We start from the raw sequence: 22,828 nt of genomic DNA on the forward strand, positions 1-22,828 counted from the left end.
GGAAGGGAGGGGTCAGGAGGCTGAGGAGGAACAGCCAGGACAGCCTCTCCTGCTGCATGGAATCTTCCATCCACTTGGTGACTGAGACTACGTATTTCTGGTTGCACAGGAAGCGCACTGACCTGTTCTGGTTTGGTATCAACACAATAACAGAGGTAACCTTAAAATAGTTTTTCTGCCTTTGGAATAAAACCTTTTGCAATGAACAGAATCTAGGAGAAGAGGTTAATTGAGAGTTGACTCACAATCTTAGATTTGCAGAAAAGAGGGTCAGGTGGAGCCCTTTTGCAGGAGTTATTTACCTCAAAGCTTCAACCTCTCCACCCTGTGGATTAAGCTGCTCAAGGCTGAGCCCTGCCCTGGCTCAGTCCTGGTACCCAGGAAATGCGACTGTTGGTCCTACCCACACAGAGAGTTATAATCTATGAGTATATCATGAAAAAGGAATTCAGTCCAATATTTTGGAGACTCCTACTTTGACATCCCCTCCTTCCCTGGGCAGGGAAGATGATCTTTTCAGCAACGGGATCCGCTGGAGTTTTAGAATTTGATTGGGTTCAACTAAAAACAAAACAAATAACGCCAGCCATTGTTCTGGGAACTATGTACACAAAGATAAATAAGACTCTGTGTGGTCATAGGGGTCTCAGTCTAGAAGGAAAACATGTGAAAATAATCACAGTGAGGGTGTGAGCATTGGTGAAAGAACACCAATGTTCTTACTTTGCTCATTCATTCGTTTGGCAAATGTTAATTGTCTACTGTGTGCCAGGCACCTTGCTAGTGTCGGGGGGATACAATGTCCCATGACAGATACAGCCCTTGCCATCATGAAGCTTATAGTGAGCAAGTAGACGTTGAGCAAATAACATAATACATCTTTGATTTGCATTTGTGACAGAGGTGTTGAAAGACGTACAGGAAGCTATGAGAGTTTAATATCAGAGAACTTGTGAGCTCAGATAATTCCCCGAAGTCGGCTTCCCCACAACCTCCTGTCTGTCCTCCCCTCAGCCTGATGTGTGCAACAGCCTCCTCCTCCACCAGATTCTGACCTTGGACCTCACTGATTCCCCAGGTCCAGGCTCTCTGCCTCTGGAGTGCAGCTTGCCACACCTGCAAAGCAAGCCCAGGGCACCTCTGCCTGATGCGCGGCTGAAACATCTGGGCTTGGCAGGATAGGAAGACGCAGGGAACAGGGCTCCAGACTGGACACCGGTCCTCCATCCAGCTCTGTCGCAAAGTAGCCATGTGGTCTGGATTCCTCCCACACATCCTGTTCCCTTCAGTCCCCAGGCTCTCCCTACCCACCTCTGCTTGTCCCCACATCCTCTGCATACTATGAGGAAGCACCACCCACAGCCTCTGGAAGCAGGATGCTTGGCTTCAGATCCTACCACCTTGGGCACATCACTTTACCTCTGTGTGCCTCAGTTTCCTCCTCTATAAAATGGGCACAACACCAGCACCTAGCACTCAGGGTGGTTGTGACGATTAAGTGTGTTAATGCAAGAGCACCTCACACATGGGCCCATGGTACATGCCATGTAAGTGCCAGCTGCTCTGCTCATTCCATGTATCATTTTCCCACCAAATCGATGTGACTTCAAAGGAAGGGCACAGAGACTCATGCCGTATTACCTGTAACATTTAGCGTCCACACCCTTGGTTCTCAAACTTAAGCATGCAACAGCGTCACCTGGAGGGCTTGCTGGAGCACAGCCTGCTGGGCCCCTTCCAGAGCTTCTGATTGTGCAGGTCTGGGGCGGGGCCTGAGAATGTGCATTTCTAACAAGTTCCCAGATGCTGCTGCTGGTCCAGGGACCACACTTTGAGAACCACTGGACTAATTTACTACTCAGATTGTATTGGCATCCATCTAGAAATGAACACATATTTGAGCACCTACAATGTGCCCACCACTGTATTAGGAGCGTTCGCATATTTCATTTTATTTTCACCAGAAAGCAGCAAAATGGGCCTCATTCTGCCCATTTTCCACCGAAGTTACCAATGCTCAGAGAAGCTACGTGACTCTCCTGAAGTCCTGCGACTTGAACTCTGACCTCTGGGTGTCAGTTTCAGTTGTCTACTTTTCCATTGCTTTTTGAACCTAGTTTTGGGATAGAAACAGTACCAGGGGAACCTGCAGAGGAGGAAGGAGCCCTTGGGAAAAGGTTTCTCCTAGGTGATCAGAGGTCTGCACGTGTCTGATGTTTATTGTGGAGATGCCAGAAATCCACTGAATTAGGAGACCCAGAGGGGCTGCACCTTGAGCCACAGCTCCTGCCCAGTACGTGGCTCTCTAGGGCCACAAAGAGGACACCCAGAGCTCAGTCTGGGCAAGCTGCCTGTGGCTCGTGAGTGGCACCCCCATAGTTTGAGACCCCCACCCCAGCGGAATGAGCTGGGCTGTCTCTCCACCTCTCCTCCATTCCCTGCACTTTCTCCCACAGCCTGGAAAACAGGTGCTGCCCATTAACAGGGGAACAGCGCCAATCAGGAGGAAACACTCCGCATTAAGCCCTTGACACATGCCACAATTTTGACAAATAAGACACAAAAGCAGGAGGTGCCAGGAGCCCCAGAGTTCAGGCCTAGCTGCTGGCATGAAAGAAGGAGGTCAGGAGTGGAGGCTTTGGCTGAGAGGAGCTGGGCACGGGGAAGGGGAGCTGGGAGGGGGCCCACCAGGTGCCACTCCTCACAGCCTTTCATCTGCCTGGGAGCCCGGAGATAGACGCTGCATGAGCCAGGCCTGAGCCAGCAGAACTGTTGGCCTGGAGAGAGGATGCAGAGCGCTGGCGAACCCCAACCTTACCGCCACTTCTTAACCTCACTGCAGGGTTCCAAGACTCTCCCCAGCCCAAATGCAAAGAGCCTCCAGGATGCTGATTTGCATGTGATTTGCATGCTGGATCTGAGGTCCCCGCGTCTCCTCCCTTCCCCTGTCTCCAGTTCCTTTCTCTGCAGGGTTGAGCTCCAGCAGGTTGACAACTAACCTGGGAGAAAGGAGTGGCTTCCTTTCCTATGCTGGGGACTTGTGACCCCCCATGTACAGTACAGCGAGGCTGAGGGAGCAGAGGGAAGAGGTGACAGGACCACAGCTCTACCGGGTGGCTCCTTCAGGGGATTTCAGTGCCTATGAGGAAGGATACTCAGCTGTCCCCTGGCGATCTGGTTAAAATGCAGATTCCAGCTCCTCAGGTCTGGAGTAAGACCCAGATCCAGCATTTCTAACAAGATCCCAAATGATGCTGCCTCCCAGGCTACACTTGAGTAGCAAGGGTGTAGGGCTGTGGGCATGTGGGAATCCCCTGGGGGCCTTCCACACTGACACTGGGTTCCACCCCAGAGATTCCGATATAATGGTCCAGGCTTGGGCACCAGGAGATTCTAACATGCGACTTGAGCTCCACTGTGGGACACCTGTACCCGTGTGTAGAACAAAGTGATTGTAATGACGCTGACCTCCTGTGAGGAGAAGAAGAGATGGAAAACTCATTAGAGGATAAACACCGGCCGTTCATTCAGCCGTTAGAGAACTAGACCACCAAAGGAGATGCCGCTTGCTCCTCGCACTCCACACACGCTCCAGGTCATTTACCAGAGAGCAGGAACAGGCCACTGGACTGTCAGTTCCAGGAGGAAGGGTCAACGATGGCTTTGTTCATGGATACACCTAGTGCCCAGCATCTGCAACATGGTAGGGGTGGGACGGGGGGATGATGGACAGGGGGCACCGCAGGAACGGATGCTGGCCAGTGATGGGGAGAGCACTGCATCCTCATCTCCAGCCTGCCATACTTCCCATCAGGAGGGGATCTTTTCTGTGACTCCAGAATGGATTTGGGAGGACTTATTCCTTGTGAAAAACATTGTCACACCCTCGTTAATCAAGCTTTCTTCCTTGGCAGAGAGGATGGAGAGGAAGAGGAAACTTTCATTCCACAGAAGGGCATCTGCCAATTTCCCACTTGGGGACGAGATTGAAATAGCTTTTTCAGATCCTCCAGTTAAGCTGACACATGTGGACCCTTCAATCCTCCACTGGGTTCCCTCCCAGGAGCAGTTATCTCGGCTCCAGCAGAACGGCTCTATCTCACCGCAGCCTGCCAGCTGTCTCGCTTCACAACAGAGAGAAGCTGGGGCCCCAAAGACAGTTCTGGTGCAAATAGCGTCGGAGAAGCAGACGCTGGAGCACTGGCGAGGGGAGGGAAGGGCGGCCAGGTCAGCTGGGCCACCCTTCATTCACATGGTCAGCCAGTGCCTAGGAGCTGTGAGGTCTTGGGGGGGGCCACGTGGAGCTGCAGCCGGATAACAGGGCCAGGGCTGAGAGTGATCTGAAGATGACAGAGCTAAAAAAGCATCACTTTAAGGTGAGGAAGGTAAATGCCACTTCTGGGCCGGCACCGTTCCCCAGGCTGGGAATGAGATAATGAATTATTACCCAAGGAAATGAAACCGCTAATAAAATCAAAAGCAAAGCTAGGGGAGGTTAAACTCCATTTTTAAAAAGGCGCTGGTGATTTATAGAGTGCCCTCTCTCCTTGCCTCCTAGGGCGCCAGCGGCTCCCCCTGTCCCTCCCCCTCTTCCCCACCTGCTGGCCCCTGACCCTCTGGACATACAGATCCTGGCCTCTCTGCCAGCTCTCCCCAGCCTCTGGCTGTTCTTTTTTCTCCATCCCCCTAGTGAGCCACTCCCACCCTCAATGGGAATTTAAAGGCTTGATTTGTGCTGAAATTTGGGCCAATTGATTTCAGGAGCTCAGTCCCCAAGGAATGGCTACCAGGAAATCCGTTTTCCTTAGGAATCCATTCCGACCTTTGAGCCAGCAAATTACAAGTAGAACCAGCCCCCGAATGGCAATCAGGTTTTGGAGGCTGGCGCTGGGCGGGTGTGGTTCATGCAGTGAGTGACTAATTGATAGGGCCTTCGAGCGGGAACCTGGCCCTCTCCTGATTCAGGGAAGCTCACTGGCTACATTTTCCTTCTCGCTGTGTCTGCTCTAATCCCTAGCAAGCTCCATTCCTGAAACCCTGGCCCCCTCGGTCTTGGCTCCCCTCCTTCCCTGCCTGAAGCCATCAAGCCCCTGCTGTCTGACCTCACTGCCCGTTTCCGTGGCGACGGCCCTGTGATGTCACTGGTGGTGGCCTGTGAGCCTTCAGGTGGGTAGGATGACAGCAGCAGGTGCCCAGGAGGAGGGGAGGAACAAAGATCTTGTTTTTGTGCCATCATCCCTGATACATAATGAAAACCCAGGGTAGGGGTGGGGTGGGAATGGAGTGGGGAGATCTGACTCTGCAGCCATCCCTCACCACTCCTGCTTGGACATCGCCAGGCTCAGCTAGAGAAGGCAGAAAAAGTTCCTCCAACTCCTTCCCCAGGCACCTATGCAGGCTCCACACTCCTGCCTGAACAGCTATGATTTTAAAAGCCATCGAGTCATGAAGAGAAGTGTGCCAGTGTGTGCTGGACTCAGTTTCCCCTGTGCACCATTTTCCCCAGTCAGCCCTGCACCTTCCAAGAACTATGACCCGAAGGCACACCCTAGTCAGCTCAGGCCCCACATTCCTGCAAAAATAAGGCTCCAGGGCTCCCTCATCGCAGCATGGGTTCTGCAGGAAGCCCCAGTGCCAAGTGGCTTTCAAAACTAGCCTCAGCTAGCAACGTGGCGGCTATTTCAGCGACCGACAAAAGCAGCTCCCCCAGCCTCCCTTGGTGTTTGTGGTCCCTTTTGTTCCAGCCAGGCACCATGAGGAAAATGCAGCAACCGTTTGGAAACAAAGGCTCGGGCAGGCTCTCTCCAGTCTGAAAAGCCCACTTTCACTTGAGTTTCAGGTAATTTGCTGTGCAGCCTGAATTCGTTAGACAAATTAGGCTCACTTGGACTTCAGGTGGCTCAATTACCTGGGTGATTTGCATGTTTATGAGTGAAGGGGACTGCACAGTAGCAGAAAGCAAATTTGAAATCCTGACTTTGGGGGCCCTGGAGCCCCTTTGCTGCACCTTTACTTTCCCTACCAGAAAGGAGGAAGGACAGAGTAGCTCCCCAGCAAGCAGATCAGCGGATGTCACATAACCACAGGGCAGTCATCAGGGAGCACGACCCCTCCCCAGGGCCACGCAGGCCTTAGTTTCTCCTTCTGGATCTGCCAGCAAAACAAAGGTAACTGCCTAAGAACAGCTTCCAAAGATGGAAGAAGAAAGTGAGAAAATCTATATTATTGATCGTTCATACCTAAGGAAAAGAGGCAAGAGGATTCCCATAGCCCAGCTGGGAGGTGAAGAGTTAATCCTATAATCTAGTCTGCCAGGGAGCAAGGCAAGGACTGGAGCTATTTTCAACCCGAAGTGTGCATGCAGAATGCTTGATGCCTGGGGGGAGGAGCTGGAAAGCCTGAGACCATTTGAAAGCATTAATTGAGTACCCAGGGTATATAGACCCTATTCTCAGGCCATGCTGGAATTCCAAAGGACAAGGGGGCTGTCTCCTGTCTTCTATTAGAGCATGGACCACCTTCCCCCACTTTCAATTTCTTCTCTGTGCCCACTCCCCCTCCCCAGGCCACAGCTCCTTCCTGGGCTCCGTGAAGTACCTACAGATGCCTGATGACCTTTTTAGAGTTGGCCCAATTACTCAACTGAAACAGCTTAAGCATTGCAAATTCACACACGCAGACTCTGCTAGTTGTCTGAGTAAGAGCTAGAGCGCTGGGCCCTGGCTGTATATTGGACTCACCTGGAGAATGTTTTAAATGATTGGAACCTGAGTCCCACCCCCAGAGAGTATGATTTAATTGGTATTGGATGCAGTGGCATTTTTTAAAAGCTCCTCTGGTGATTTAAACATGCCACAAAGCCTGAGAGCCCCTGAGCTGGAGGATTTGGGATTTTTGAATTGTTTAATGATGAGTCGTTGGGCTGAAATTGATCAAGTGTGATGGGATCAAGACAGGCTTAGATTCTATGCACCTGGTGGGCTGCTATCTTGAAACAAAATAGTGATGTAAGGTTTTCATATGAGTGTGATTGTAATGGATCTACATAAGAGTTGGTATGAGTATAGATTTGCCTGGAGTAAAGTCTTCACTAAACTGGCATTAGTTGAGGGAAGAGGTGGCAGGAAGAAGTAATCGATATTTCTTGAGTATCTGTTGCGTGCCAGGAACTGTGCTTGGAAGACTATACTGATATTTCATTTATTGTTTCCAACCACATGGCAAATGGGCATTACTCCTACTTTACAGATGAGGAAACTGAGACTCAGAAAGGATAAGTGTAATTTTGCCTGAGATTATACAGCTATTGAGTTTTGGGAGACAATTTTCTGAGGGCCCCTCACATTTCTGTGTGTCTTGCAAAGAGAGACACTGACTGCCTTTGTCTGAACTATCCTTATAAGGATGCTTGCCTGGTGAACAGCTTTGGAAAATCCAATATCTTCCTCTGGAGCAAAGGGTAGGCATGCTTACTGTCCATTATAAAAGATTCCTATTCCTTAAGCTCAGGATTCCTCTTTTGGAACACAGTCCACTCTGTGTGAGCAGGTATCACCTAGGGCCCTCTTTGTGCTGCCTTATGGAGACCATGGCTTGGAGAATTGGCACAAAACCCTAATACTCTGGCTGCTACTATTGTGTAATAAACTGTCCTTTGTCTCTGATCCATGAGTCTCATGTCTTCCACCAGCATCCATGAAACCGTAGCAGGCCAGACTAACTTGTTAACTTGCAAATGGGGCAAGGTTTCAGACCCCACACAGTTCTTGACAATGTAATCTAAATCTGTTTTCCTCTAAAACCTGTGCATTTAAGAGATGGGTAAGCAAGAGGAGATATTAAAACACAACAAAACACTCTCCATCAATGACCACTTTCTCTCTAGATATAAAATAACAGAAATTAGTTCCCTTTCTCCTTTCTATGAGATACATAAACAGATTCATTCTGTATCAAGAGTTAAAAGAAGTACAACACTTGGGCACCATGAGGTGCCCTCTGGGTTCCAGGTTCCATGTGATTTTCAGTTCTGAGCTAGTTCCTGTTTTCCCTCAAGGATGTTTCACTGGATCCCATCAACTGGCTCTCGGCCTTGATAAGAAAATCTGGGTCTAGCCTCGCCTCAACACCCATACCCCACTCACTCTGTGGCTGTTAGAAGCCTATTACCCCCTTGACCTACTTATCTTTCAAATAGAAATGATCTTTCTTCGGGTGCTAATGCTACCGGCCTGCGTGACCCTTCATTTGTGACCATTCCTCTTTGAGACCAGAATTTTCAAAAGACTGATTATAATCACAGTCTCATTCTCAATATTTGCAAAAGGCCTTTCCTAACACAATTCTTTAAAACCAGCTAAGTTACCAGGTAAGTCAATTTCGAAAGGATGGCTTCGTTTCAGTGCTAATTAGCTTCTCTTCTGATGGATGAGAAGTTTACATGCAATGATTTCTAGTAGCAGGTTCGTATAATTTTTCACCGCTAATTATTAAAAATTATTAATCATAATACTCTTCAGGTGCCAGAAACTTTTAAAGGTGCTTTATAAAGTATCCTAAATCTACTCTACAACCCTAAAAGTGAAATATTTTCACTCAAAGAAGCTGAGATTTCAAGGTTGAATATCTTGCATGCACAGCTAGTAAGTGGCAGAGCTGGAACCCAAGGTCACATCTGTCCAGCCCCCAAAGCCAGACTTTTCTAATAACCAACTGTCCCCTTTTTAAAACAGCTTTATTGAGATATAATACACATACTCTACAATTCGCCCATTTAAAACGTACGATTCAATGGGTTTAGTAAGTCCTCAGATATGTGCAACCATCGCCACAGTCAATTTTAGAACATTTTCCTCACGCTCAAAAGAAACCCTGTAGACTTTAGTTATCACCCTCCATCACTCCTCCTCCCCAGCCCCAACCAACTGCCTTTTATAAAGTCTCTTTCTAAAAAAGCCAACGCGTTTTCTTCTCTCTGCATTAAATGTTGCAGTATATTCGTATTCATTTATAAATGGGTTGCCTTTCCAGGTTACTGAGAGGTTAAGAATTGCCAAAAAAGACCTGTGCCTTCCCTCTGATATTCCCTGGGTTTAGTTCTTCTCTCCTCCTTCTGCCAAGAGACCACTGAGAAGTGCCTCCGAAGAGCTAAGGGCTGCCCCAGGTGGTTATGTGGGAGGTGAGTTTGGGTGTGAGTTGATGATGAAAGGGTTGGGGATCCCAGAAAACTTCTTCCAGCCTGGACTCAAGCCTTGTATCTCATGAACAGGGAAGAGACCATCTCCTTTCAGACACAGCTAGCCCTCCCAGAGAAGCCCCTCATTCTTCCTTCTATAGAGGCACCTTGGGGAAATTTGACTTTGCCCGAGGAAGGCTTTGCCAGAGTGGCCTTGGGGTCAGTCAGACTTGGCAAAGAGTTTGGCGTGCAGATGTTTTCACTTGGTTTCCCCCAGAAGCTGACCCTGAAGGACATGAGTGCTTGGAGTTTGGGTTGGGAGGTATAGGGATCACTGGTGGGGTGGGGTGGGGAGGGCACTGGGAAGGGACACAAGAAGGGGAAGGTGGCCACTGAAGGGCGGGCTCCTGAACCCACTGCCCCAGCAGGAAACCAGCTCTTACTCTCCGAGTCAACTCTAGGAAACTCTGTAAAACACCCAGCTCAGAGTTACCCCTCCCCCTGTCCAGGGATACAGACACTGGGTGTGGAAAACACCAACTCCCAGCAGGCTCTGGTAGAGGCTCCTCCAAGGGGTGCAAATTCCTTCGCTGTCCTGGCAAGCTACGCACATGTGGGCAGAGCAGCCTCTGCAGTTTTGGATAAAGTTCTCAGGCAGAGAAATAGACACTGGTAGTGGGAGGTTGGCTGAGAGCACAAAATGGTCAGGCCTGGGGGATATGGCAGGGGGAATGACCAGAGCATCTGCGACAGCCTGGCCCCCATCTGAACCCCTGCATGTGCAGGTGCACCCACACCCCCTCCACACACACACACACACACACACGCACACGCACACACACAGTGGGATAGGAATATGGCTGCAGTACAGCACCTTCCTCCACCCCTGGGCTCCCCTCTTGCTCCCTGTCCATGGTCAGGGTGCTCCTTTGCATGGTAATGAAGTTCATTAAATGAGGTTTATTAGGAACCAGCTAGTAAAGGTCTATGTCTTTTCCGCCGAAGCTGGAGAATTTCCCAAAAAGCTTCGTGAAGAGCTTGAAACCCCAGAAGAGATCCCTTGGGGATGGGAGTTGCTCCAGGACAGAAGAAGCAGTAAGCTCCACCCACCCGTCTGGGGACACACAGGAGGCGTTGGATGTACAAAGCTTGTTAGAGAGCTGGCTTTCTTTTGAGCTGCAGCCTGACCAGCCTCCCCTGCACAGGCCCTAGAGGCTCAGCAGCTGGAGGGCAGCCTGGAAGTGCTGTCTATGCCCAAGGGTCTGAGCTGGGAAGGCCGATCACCTTCCTTGGTTCAACCTCTGAAAGCTGAGAGCACCTGGGGCTCCTCTCTTTCAGGAATGGAATGGAACTCTGCAGTTTTGGGCAGCCCAAGGCCATGTCTACTTCATTGCTAGTTGGCAGAATATCCATTCATTCATTTCTTCACTCATTCATTCATCTATTATTCACTAACTTATTCATTTATTCATGATCTATGGATCAGGGATTACAGCAGTCATGAAACACAATAATTGGAATATGTAAACCCTTCACCTTGCTTCAGAGGCTTAAGAGCACACATGAATCTAAGGTAGTCTAGAATCCCTGGCGCACCTCCTCAGCAGCCCCAGCCTCTGGCTCCAGCTCTGTGCACGTGTAGGATCATGTCTTGGCTATGCCAGTGGGCTGTAAACACCATTAGGAGAGGACACAGGTCCTGTTCACCACCACATCCTCATAACCTAGCATTGTCCTTGGCACATAGGAGGTAATAAATACCCGTGAATGAATGGATGGATATGTGCCTTTGAGTAAAAGGCTAATTCTTGTACATATTTTTAATGCATTCCTATATGTGTTTGGGTATCAGTACACATTTATGTATATGTCATAGTTTTTGTATGGTTATATAAGTGTGTGCATCTGTGTGTCATGTATGTATGTGAGAGAGAGTTCTTAATAGACATGGGCTTTCTTTCACAATATTTCAAGAGAATGAACATTTTTGCTTCCTGGTATCTGACTTTGTAAGTCCAATCTGCATTTTCCACACATGTACAGCTCTCCAGACTTTCAAATATTTATATTCCTATATTTAAAATCTGTGAAATGTCTCTCTCTCACCACTTATGCCCTTGTATGCTCTCTCCTCTCTCTTCTCTTTCTCTGTCTGCCCTCAGCCCTCCCCTCCACCTCATTTCCTCTTTGTCCCCAGATATAGACATACATATGGGTGAATACTCCCAAACTAAGCCACACTTTTCACTTCCGAGTTGGAGATATGGAGGGATACACAGGAGCCATCAACCCGGCCTATGACAAATCCCTAATGATAAGCCCAGCCAGGGAGGGGAGCAGCAGCTTTGGGGCCTGTGCCCCAAACCTCTGTGCCCCTTGAAGAGAGGACCTGCCCCGGGAGAAGTTTCCTCAGGCTGCAGCAGAGCTTGGAAGGAGGAGGAACTAATTGATGTTTGCCCAGGGCTTCAGAGAGATGCACTGAGTAAACATCAGCATTGCCTGGGTTTAGGCGGCTTAGGGTCTTATCTCTGGGAGGTTATAATGTCTTATGATGCTGACCAAGAGGAGAGGAATCCCCCCCCAGGATTTTTCGACCTGAGATAGTCTGTGGACCTTCTCTGTCCCATACCCTATGGCCAAGCCATGAACCACCCACCTCTCAGTGACCAGTTAAAAAAGACCTCACGCCCCTCCGTGCTTTTTTTTTCTTTTGAGACAGGGTCTTGCTCTGTCACCCAGGCTGGAGTACAATGGTGCCCTCATAGCTCACTGCAGCCTCTACCTCCTGGGCTCAAGCAATCCTTCCACCCCAGCCTCCCAAGTACCTGGGACTACAGGTGTACACCACCATGCCCAGCTATTTTTTGTATTTTTTATGGAGGTGGGGTTTTGCCATGTTGCCCAGGCTGGTCTCGAACTCCTGAGCTCATGTGATCCACCCGCCTCAGCCTCCTAAAATCTTGGGATTACAGGCGTGAGCCACCATGCCTGGCCTCCCTCTGTGCTTCTGCGATTCCCTCTACCCCAAACGCTTCCACTCTCCGTGTCTACCTGCTCATCTTTCGTGATTCAGCTTAAACATCTTTTCCTTCGAGGTCCCAGACTGAGACAGAGTCCCAAATTCTAAGCTCTGAGAGAAGCCTGCACCAACTTCTATGGCTATGGAGGAAGTTTCTCTATGGATGACCTATCTAGGTGTTGGGCTGTCCTGCTGAGTGTATAGAAAGTGCAAACTGCTGTATTGATCTTTGTCACCAGAGCCCTTGCACATAGTTGGGCTGAAATGAACTTAGGGACCAAAAAGGGTGGGCCAAGGGTATAGCTGATGATGGTGAGAAGATAGGCAATGTGTTGATAAGGCACACTGATAAGTGATTTACAATATTCTCATGTTTCTCATAACATCTGTGAAGATGGGATTATCCGCATTGTACACATGGCAAAACTGAGGCTCAGAGAGCCCTGCAATGCATGACGGAGCTGAGAGTCAACCCAAGTGTGTCCAATTCCAAAGCCAGGGCTCTTGGTCACAGTGCTGTATGTGTGAAACCATAGCATATGCATATATTATTAATAAAAGAACAAGCAAGTTAGAAAACAAATTTTCCATCCATTAGGTGAGTCAAGGCTTGAGGATCTGGAGACTAAGCAACTCTCAAGAGAAAGTTCTGCTGGGACCCCTCCCTTGGTCTTCCCTTTCTGCCCCCTCTGATGCCCCCTTCATCCATCCCTGCCTGCCTTCTGGTCTGTCCCTGCAGCGTGAGTGCCAGACAGAGGCCTGTTCTGATGTCCTGACATGCTACAATTATGCAGATTTACACAGCAAGCATAAGACCTTCTCCGCATGTATGGCTTCCCCATTCCCAAGCAGACCATGAACTTCCTAAGGAAAGTGACCGAATTCCGCACTTCTCAACCCTCGCGGAGGGGCAGGGAGATGGTAAGTGACTTTGGTTAGGTGCTACCACCTGTCAGGCCCGATGGGGGGGGTCCTTCCATGAGTTTTTTTTAAGAATTTGGGCTCTTTGAGGTGTGTTATCCCCATTTTACACAGGAGAGCAGCCCCGAGGCTCACAGAAATTAGTTTCCTTGTCCAAGATCACCCAAGTCATACGATTAACCTTAGAAAAGCTTTCTGCCTTTCTTGGGATGAATATTTTGAGCTAGGAAGGAAGTAACCGTTTCCTGTCTTTGTAATCTGAGAGGAACTAATTGGCGTTTTCCCAGGGCTTCAGACAGAGGCACAGGTGGGTTTCTGGAGGCTGGGGGTCTTATTTCTGAAAAGTTATAATGTCTTTACATGCAAACCAGGAGGCCAAGGCATCCCTCACTGAGGTTTTTCCTGGTTGAGACACAAAAACCTGTGGACCTCTGCATCCTGACCCTGTATCTGAGCCATGACTCACTGGCCAGGGAAGATCTACTGAGACCAGTACCAATAATGGAGCCCAATTGATTAGAACCTTGAGAAGCCCTAAGTGGAGTGAGAAACATTTGACTTCCAATGGGAAATCCAGATGCTTAGGGTATCATTCAAAATACCATGGTGGGCTCCTCAAAGGCATGACCTCAGCTCTTGTTTCCTAGCAGGGGATCAGTGACTGAGCAAGGCCAATAATGTCAATTCCACATTTGGGCTCTTATGGAGCTGGCCATTCCAGAGTCAGGTGTAGCAAAACAAAACCACACCCCTGAAAATGCAGTATTCTGAAGAATGGGAAATGGAAGGGGCAGTGAGGAGGAAGCCACCAGGACACCCGCAGCCCTGGGTTCGAGCTCCACCTTGCTCTCTGCCCTTCTTTACCCCGCACTGGGCCCTGGGGGTTGACCTGAATGGACCACAGCCTCTAGGGGAAGGTCCTTCCTTGCCTCCTCCAGCTTCTGGTGGCCCTGGGTGATCCTTGCCTTGTAGCTCCCTTTTCCCTGGAGCAGCTCCCAGGACTGCTGGCAGGTTCCTGGGGGCTTTGTGGAACAATATAAGAATCCCTGGTAGAGATCAGTGTTTCTCAGCATTAGCTATGGATCAGAAATGGCTGCAGAGCTTTGGAAAAATACAGAGGCTGAAATCTCACCTGTACCCTGCGGCACAAACCACAAGGGAAAGGCCCCAGTGTCTGCTGGATTCCAGGTGACTCTGATGTCAGGCAGGGTTGAGAAACACTGACCCAAACATTCTGGGCTTTATCCCTGGGTTATATCAGATCATTTCCAGGCCTTGCAACACCTGTTCACTGTGTTTACTCTAGAAACGATGCAGTTGGTGGTGTCTCCCACTATTTTAGTCTGTGTTCACCACACAGCTTTATTTTCTTAGACAATGAGAATTTTTGTAAATGATCATGTTTGTCTTTTGTATTGACTGCTTGGACCCACAGGCTTAAATGTGCAGTTTAATTTTAGCAATGACACAGGTCCTGTGGCTCCAACAGCTGCAGATAGCCTTTGCCTCTGATCTTAGTTTCCTCTATTTTCCTTGGTCTTAATTTTTTATTATACTTCACTGCTTCATGGAATTACACATCGGTACCAGGAATAGTTTAGGGAATAAAGTGGCATTTACATTTATAAAGAACAGGCCAGGCATGGTGGCTCACACCTGTAATCCCAGCGCTTTGGGAGGCAGAGGCTGGCAGATCACTTGAAGTCAGAAGTTCGAGACCAGCCTGGCCAACATGTGTAAAACCCTGTCTCTACTAAAAATACAAAAATTAGTTAGACGTTGTGGTGGGTGCCTGTAATATTAATCCCAGCTACTCGGGAGGTGGAGGCAGGAGAATTGCTTGAACCTGGGAGGCAGAGGTCACAGTGAGCCAAGATGGAGCCACTGCACTCCAGCCTGGGTGACAGAGTGAGACTCCATCTCAAAAAAAAAAAAAAAAAAATTATGAAGAACAAAACGGAAGTGGTGTATAATGATAATGGAGCTTGTGTCTGCAGCCACAGGACACCAAGTGCAGGTTAAAGAGACCTCCTCTAGCTTTAGATTTCCTCATATGTGCCACCTCCTCCAGGAAGCCTTTCCTGATCATCTGAACCAGATGAATCACCTCATGATAAATGATCCTAACTCTTGTTCTCCATTAAAATGACTCGTTCAGCCCCAGTCTTCCTCACCAGACTGTGATTTTTGACATGAGCCAAAAGCATGCCTGTCTTTCTCCTGGGTGTAACCCCATTGCCCAGCACACGGCGTGCTGCAAGCATAATCATCTGATAAATATTTATTGGACGAGCAAATGGAAATAGCCGCAAAACTCGACTGCTGGGTGAAATATACAAGAAATAAATATAAAGGCTGTGTGATAAGAAGGTGACTCACAGAGTGAGGAGAGAGAAGGAAAAAGAAAGGCAGGTGGGAGGGAAGAAAGGAGCAGCTGGTTGAAAAGAAGACAGAACGGGAGCTGGCAGCATCTGAGCAGCTATTTACCCAGATCCCAGTGAGAGTCTCTACAGACTGTGTCCCATTTTATCTTCACAACACTCTCGGAAGGCGAGCCGGCTACCCCCACTTTACAGATGAGGAGACTGAAGCTTGAGGCGTCTAAGCTGCCTGAAATTCATAAAGCCCAGGAGTAACTGAGTCAGATCTGAATCTGAGGGTCTGTGGCTTCAAAGCTGGGAGGCTGTCCCCTGCAGCACAGGGACAAATATCAGAATCCCAAAGTGGCCACACCTACTACTCATCCTGCCAGGGACCCTTCCACCTGCTCCACGAACAGGGTTCTCTTCGCAGAGGGTCTGTTTCTGTGGCTGGCTGGGCGAGCAGGGATCAGCGGAAAAGGAGGTGACAAGGCTTCAACTTTGGCATCCCTATTCAGTGAGAAGAATGGAGCACCCAGATTATAAGAGGGCCAACTGGGAGACTGAGTAAGGAGGAAACACCTCCCATTTCACCTTGCCTGTGAGCTGAGGAGGTAGTAAGGGTTGGGCAGCTGCTGCTCCCATCCCGACCCTCCCAGCCTCCATCCACACCTCCTCCCAGAACTGCCTTCAGAGGAGCCAGCCAGGCTGGGCTTGAGGATGTCAGGCCAGGAATGGCCAGGGGCCCAGAGGGGTGGGCACCAGCTGGGGCCTTGCTTCAGCAACACAGCCAGAGCTGTGCATACCAGGGCCAGCAGTGGCCGTTTTTCCAAGCTGCAGTGGCTGCTGAGCCAGAGGCTGTCCCTGTGGATTCTTGCCACCTGCAATTCCCAGTCTTCATGGGTGGGAAGAAGGCTCATCTAGACACCCCAACCCAAGGAGAAGGGTAGTGCCAATGCGTGCCCCTGGGACAAGAGGACTTTATTTGCCCTCACCTGTGTCCTTTGATTTGGGGACTCTGGGGACCCTGGCCAAGATACATGTATGTGCTCCAAAGCCTTAGCTTCAACTCTAGCCATCGGTCATCCAGAGCTTAATTCCTTATGTGAAAACAAAAATGCTAGCAAGAGAATAGAAGCCTTGGGGAAGTTGCCCAGAATAGAAAGGCTTTAAACCGCCAGAAAGCACTGAGCATTTCAAATCGCTATCCTGAGTCAACTGGTGCCGAATCCTCTTTCAAGCTTTGAATCAACACTGTCCAGCTAGTACTGTTGACTCAGGAGGGTCCAAGGGTTGACCAGGGGAGAGATAGCTGTGTGTGGCCTGGGATCAGAGCTCTCCAACCCTACTTTCTGGAGCTCTTCCAACCTGGACTTCTGACTCAGGCTGTACAGCAAATATTCTTGTTTTCGCTGATTTCTCTACATGTGAAGAATCTGAGTGGTTTGGATCCCAACCATTTAGATGGATGACTGGACTTATAGCCCTCCTGGACCCTTGCCAACTATGATTCAGCCATTCTTCCTACCCCAAAGGGAGTTGAGCAACAAATGATATACTGCAGTTTTTGCCTGATAGATGCAATTTACACATCAGCAAAAGCTTCCCAACAGGAAGGTCTGACATGGACGATGGTGAACAGCATTCCCTGGGCCTGGCATACTGGCTTATGCCAGTAATCTCAGTGCTTTTGGCCGGGGGGGGGGGGGCCGAGGCAGGTGGATCACTTGAGCCCAGGAGTTCTGGAACAGCCTGAGCAACATAGCAAGACCCTATCTCTACAAAAAAAAAAAAAAAAAAAGAAAAGAAAGAAAAAGAAAAAAAAGGACAGCATTCCACTTATTCTCAAGAGGTATTTAAATTCTGAAGAATTTATCATCACCTTGCACAAAGAATGGAACCAGGAGTATCCATGTTTCTTCTGTGCCCTTGAATTCTCCAGTGACTTCATCTTTAGCTAAAATCTCAGCAAAATGTGGAGGAATGGCTACTCCTGAGCAGTTTTCTCTTGGCTCCCTGGGATCATGTAGCAGAGGTCTGGCTTGGTCAGAAATACTGTCCTTTCCAGAGATATGGTCAATAGGCAATAGTGAGGGGGAGGGAGAGAGAGAGGATAGGGCTGAAGGGGGTTATTACTATAGAGCCAGAGGGTCACATGTCCCTATTCAATTCCACACAAGAAGGCTCAGCTATAATCACCAACCCACTTGCTTCCCTACAAGGTAACCATGTCACAACCAGTTCCTCCCAGAGGATTCAACATCACTGCTCATCTCCTCAGACCAATCAAGAGGATTGGTCATTGGGAAGTCATCCTGAGCTGTGACCACTCTCTGGAACCCAGAACTTCCTGCTTCACATGGACTGGATGAATGTCTAGGGGCACAGCTGTTTCCAGACACCTGGTTTGTCTTCAGAATCTCAAATCTTAAAGGCTTTCTGGTCCAACCATCCAATGCATGGTGAGGCCCCTTCTGGATTGCCCCTGCCTGCAGCATCCTGGTGTGTGCCTACATATTTCCAGGGACAGCCAGGAAGATTCCATGCAATTATGTGTTCCCTGTTCCAGGGGAGCCCACAGCTTGATCAGGGGACAGACTGTATCTTCCATCAACTCAAGAACTAAGACTCAAATTAAAAAAATGCAAGGCTGGGGGCCAGGTGCGGTGGCTTAAGCCTGTAATCCCAGCACTTTGGGAGGCTGAAGCAGGCATATCACCTGGCCTCAGGAGTTCAAGACCAGCCTGGGCAACACGGTGAAACCCTATCTCTACCAAAAATACAAAAAATTAGCCGGGCGTGGTGGCGTGCGCCTGTGGTCCCAGCTACTTGGGAGGCTGAGATGGGAGGATCACTTGAACCTGGGAGGCAGATGTTGCAGTGAGCTGAGATTGTGCCACTGCACTCCAACCTGGATGACAAACTGAGACCCCATCTCAAAAAAAAAAAAAAATAAATAAATAAATAAATAAATAAATAAATAAATAAGGGGATCTGAAAAGGCTCTGTACTGTATGCATAGTACTATCTGACATTCTGCACAAGGCAACTATGAAGACAGTGAAAAAAAAAGATCAGTGGTTTCAGAGGTGGGGAGGAGGGATGGATAGGTGGAGCATAGAGGACTTTTAGGGCAGTAAAGCTTTTCCAGATGGTATTGTCATGTGGATACATGCCACACCTTTGTCCTGAACCACAGAATGTACAAAACCAGGAGTGAACCCTAAATGTAAACTGTGAACTTTAATAACAATGCATCAACATTGGCTCATCCCTCGTAACCAACGTACCACACTAATGCACGATGCTAATAACAGGGGGTGCTGGAGTGGGAGTAAAAGGGTATACAGGAACTCTGTGTACCTTCCATTTTTCTGTAAACCTAAGACTGCTTAAATAATAAAGTCTATTAATTTTTTCTAAATTGCAGGATGAAGAAATAAAGAGAGGGTGAAATCATTCTGGGAAGTTTCCTTGAAAGGGGTGAGTCATAAAGAGGGGGTTGGGTGCAGGTGAGGAGGAGGAAGATTACAGACTGCAGGGATGAGCAAATACCATTTCCCAGGATTTCCTGAAGTTTTTCTCCCCTCCCAAAGCCCAAATCTGCCTCTTTCTGGGGCCCAGCGAGGACCCTGGAAGACAGAGATCCTAGAAAAAGCAGAGGGAAAAGAAGAGGAAGAGAACATGGAGAAACCGCCAGGGAACAGAACTCTTGGTCCAGGAGGCGCAAACCACAAGTGCAATTAGTCAAAAAAAAACCCTGAAATTAAAAAATGATTCCAAGCTGAGGAGGGGAGTACATAAGTTACTGCAGCCCCAAGACATTTATGAATAATACAAATGCTGTGAGGTGCTGAGCCTGAGCACAGTTAATTAATATGTACAGGAGCAGAGATGCACTTGAAAAACAATAGTGCTGTTTCCCCCTCGCCAGAAGTAAAAATATTTCCAGAAAGACTGACACGTGTATTATTTTCTAACATAATTACCTTATTGTGGAGCATTTGTAATGGAACACATTAGAGACGCTAAGCACCTGCCTGCCTTCCCTTAATGCAGTTTGGTTCAGTGGTGCTGGGCACTGGAGGTGGGAGGAGGCTGGCAGGGTGGCAGCGGTGGGGGCGTCTCGGGAGATCTGTGCACACACATACTTGATGCCCTTTCTCTCTCCTTCCCCTACTCGCTTTCCTTAAACCAAGCAAACATCCTCTCCCTTCCTCCTTCCATTCCCTCCCCTGCCTGCCTTACTGCCACCCACTTCTAGGGACCTCCGTGAGCTAGTGACAGCCTGAGGGGCAAAGCTGAGAGATTCAGGGTTCCCCGATGACTGGCTGAGAGAAAACGTCTGCAGAAGGAGAAAAAGCAGAAGCCACCCTCTGCCGGAGGAGGGAGAAGGGATGAGAGGGGACAGGCCTAGGGCTTAAATGTTCGCCCCAAGACCCAGAATAGCCTAGCACTTCAGCCTTTCTGCTATCCTTGTTTTGCAAGGATGTAGAGTGAGAATATTGATCTGGGAGGCTGGGACCCTAGGTTCTAGTCCTCACTCTTCTAGCCCAAAGACCAAAAGTCACTTTGTCTCTGAATCTCCATGTCCTCACCTGTAGAAGGGCACCAGTGGAGGACAGCTGGCCTGGCTGGCCTCCAACATCCCTGCTGCCCAATGTCCTGAGCACATCAGCCACTCAGCCAAGAGGTGAGCGGTGTCATCCTATCCAGCCTTTTTCCCCCACAGTTAAGAATGCCTCGCCCAACAGATAGATGCCCAATTTACTCTCTCCCAGGAGAGAAATGCCTGTCTTCTCCCTTCCACTCCCATTGGCTCCCTGCCGTGCCCAGCCTCCCTGCTCCTCCCATCGCCACACACATAATGGAATCCAGAAGGCGGGCGCCCATGCTGCCATGTGCATGGTGTGCCATCCCTGGCCACGCCCACCTGGCCAGGCTCCATCCTTGGCACCCGCCTCTCCTCATCTTTTCCTCTTGCTCCTCTCCCTCTTGCCACCCTTAAACACTGGCCCCCTCCAGCATTTTGCCCTTGGCCCTCCTCTCTTCCCATTTTCTGGGCCCTCCTATGGTTTGATTGCACAGATAAATTTTATATCTGTCTTTAAATCCCAACCCTTGCTTCTGAGCTCCAGAATTTGTAAATACAGCTGGCAGTGGGACATCTTTATCTACTTAAGAATCACTGTGCCCAAATGGAGCCCTTTATCTTCCCCACTAAACCTGCTTCTCCTCCTATTTTCTATTTCAGGGACTGGCATTCCCCTACTCTCATAATTCAGAAATCCAAGAGGCTTTCCAGAATCCCCTTTCTCTTTATATCTCATACTCATCTGGCCACAAAACTGATCTTATGCCCAAAATAGCCCAGGACTCTCTTTCCTGTCTTCACTGACACTGTCTTCCTTTCTTGAGCAGATTCATCGGGTAGTCTTTCATCTGTACATCCTCCCTACTGAGCTCGCCCAGAGGCTGGCACTTGGGTAAATGGCAGCAAATATTTACTGAATGAATAAGCCCCATCTCAGGCCGTTCCATTGTCCACATTGCTAGTGGTCCTTCTCCTAAAATCCAGAGATAATTATATCTTTGTCTTGCTTGAAAACCTCCATAACATGCCGTGACTTCCAGGATAGTTTCACCCCATGCTGCCTAATTTTACATGGTTTGTACACCCTCCAACACCATCTCCAGCAGGCACCCATGGCAATACCAGCTCCTGTGTCTCTAATCAAAGGCCCCATCTCATGCTTTTGTGCCTTGCATGTGTTGTCCCTGTTGCCTGGAGCATCATTCATCCGCCATCTGGTCAACCTCTATTGTAATCTAAGAATCACTATTCTGATGATCTATCACTATGTAATGAATAACCCCAAACTTAGTGGCTTAAAACAACAATCATTTTATTACCATATCTTATAGTTCTGGGCTTGACTGGGCTCAGAACTGGGTTCTGTTCTTGTTCGTGGTCTCTCATATGGCTGCAGTCAGACAGTGGCTGGGCTGGAGTCATCTTGAGGACTTTCTCACTCACATGTCTGCCTGGGTCAGTGGGTACCACCTACACATAGGCTCTTCATGTGGCTTGGGCTTCCTCCCAACATGGTGGCCATGTTGTTAGAGCAAGCATACTGAGAGAGAAAGATCAGCAGAAGCTTCTTGACCTTTTCTAACCTAACCTTGGAAGTCCTGTAGCATCACTGCTGCTACAGTCTACTCATCAAGGTTGTCACAAGGGCCTGCCCAGGTTCAAAGGAAGGGGATATTTCACTTCGTGATGAGGGAATGGCAAGGTTCTGAAGAGAGCATGTGGGATGGAAATATTGTTGCAGCCACTGAGGGAAAATATAATCTGCCACATATGACAGCCCCTCCTCCAAGAAGTCCTTGGATGTCCCTTTCCCTCCTCCAGGCTACTCCTGTGCCTCTTGCTAGTATTCCCCACCATATGTGCTGTCATTATTTTTTAGTTTAGTTCATTGAGGGCATGGGCTATCTTTTACTTATCTTTGTGCTTCGCACATAGTTGGTTCTCATTAATTGCTTGCAAATTACTCACTGAGGAAGTGAGAGACTGAGTATGACCTGCTAACCCATAGCAAGGAATGTTCTTTCCAGAGCAGGAAGTGACTTCCCAGGATGGCCACCACTCAGGCAATTGTGGGCAGAAGCCCTGGCTGAAGCTACTCCTCAACTAAAACATACCTGGCCCTCACTGCTGCCATTCAGGACGCCTCTCCCATGTAAGATCTGTTACCTGCTGGCAGGTGTGCACAGGTGAAGCCCTTTGATTCTCCCCAATACCACCTCTACCTTCTTGCTCCTGTTTTAAAATTTCCAGCAGTGGAATGAAAGGTGGCTCCATGAAAGAGGGAAGAGTGTGGGAAAGTTTGGAGGGTTGGTGGGAGGCAAAGGGAGAGGAAGCCCCTTCCTTTCTCCCTCCCATTCCCCATTGGCCCTCTGGAGCCATGGAGCACAGAAATATCCCTTCTCATTTCCCGGCACCATTCCCCAGCTGCCTGGCCAGGATTGCTGGGCCTTGGGAGCAATTGTTTGCTGAGCCATTCAGCGGGCAGCTCCCTCATGGGCACACAGCCCCACTGCCTGACAGGCTGTGTGCAAGGGGACAGGCCTGAATGACTGTAATATGAACCATGAAAGTGGATATTAAAGGCTTTATTACAGGGTGAGGACTGCTAATTGCAACTTTCCTTTCAGGAAGCTGGAGCTGATGAGTTTAAGCAGCGGCACCCAATTATTATAACTCTGTCAGCACAGAGCAGGGGAAAGGTGGGGGAGGGGAGGAGGCAGGCTGAAGGCACAATTACCTGAACTTTATCCAAGGCACAC

At 49.0% G+C, this 22,828-nt stretch overlaps 2 long non-coding RNA genes across 2 annotated transcripts in view, besides 1 other annotated feature; one reads left to right on the forward strand and one right to left on the reverse strand.

Moving 5' to 3' along the window:
- The window catches only part of LINC00469 (long intergenic non-protein coding RNA 469), a 79,268-nt gene that overhangs the window by 32,263 nt on the left and 24,177 nt on the right, over positions 1–22,828 (reverse strand). The gene's annotated exons all lie outside the window — the stretch shown is intronic.
- On the forward strand, positions 5,290–19,263 carry LINC02092 (long intergenic non-protein coding RNA 2092). Its single transcript, NR_040020.1, has 7 exons — positions 5,290–6,282; positions 8,520–8,642; positions 9,031–9,178; positions 10,181–10,270; positions 12,793–13,115; positions 17,698–18,136; positions 18,906–19,263. It is a non-coding gene; the product is annotated as a long intergenic non-protein coding RNA 2092 (long non-coding RNA).
- Positions 15,723–16,223: an enhancer, noted in NCBI's record as "H3K4me1 hESC enhancer chr17:71793394-71793894 (GRCh37/hg19 assembly coordinates)". NCBI's record gives its function as "activates a minimal SCP1, AML or CMV promoter by ChIP-STARR-seq in primed H9 embryonic stem cells {active_cell/tissue: H9 hESC(primed)}" and the evidence as "EXISTENCE:reporter gene assay evidence [ECO:0000049][PMID:30033119]".

This window comes from Homo sapiens, chromosome 17 (genome assembly GCF_000001405.40).
Source record: "Homo sapiens chromosome 17, GRCh38.p14 Primary Assembly".
Classification (NCBI taxonomy): Eukaryota; Metazoa; Chordata; class Mammalia; order Primates; family Hominidae; genus Homo; species Homo sapiens.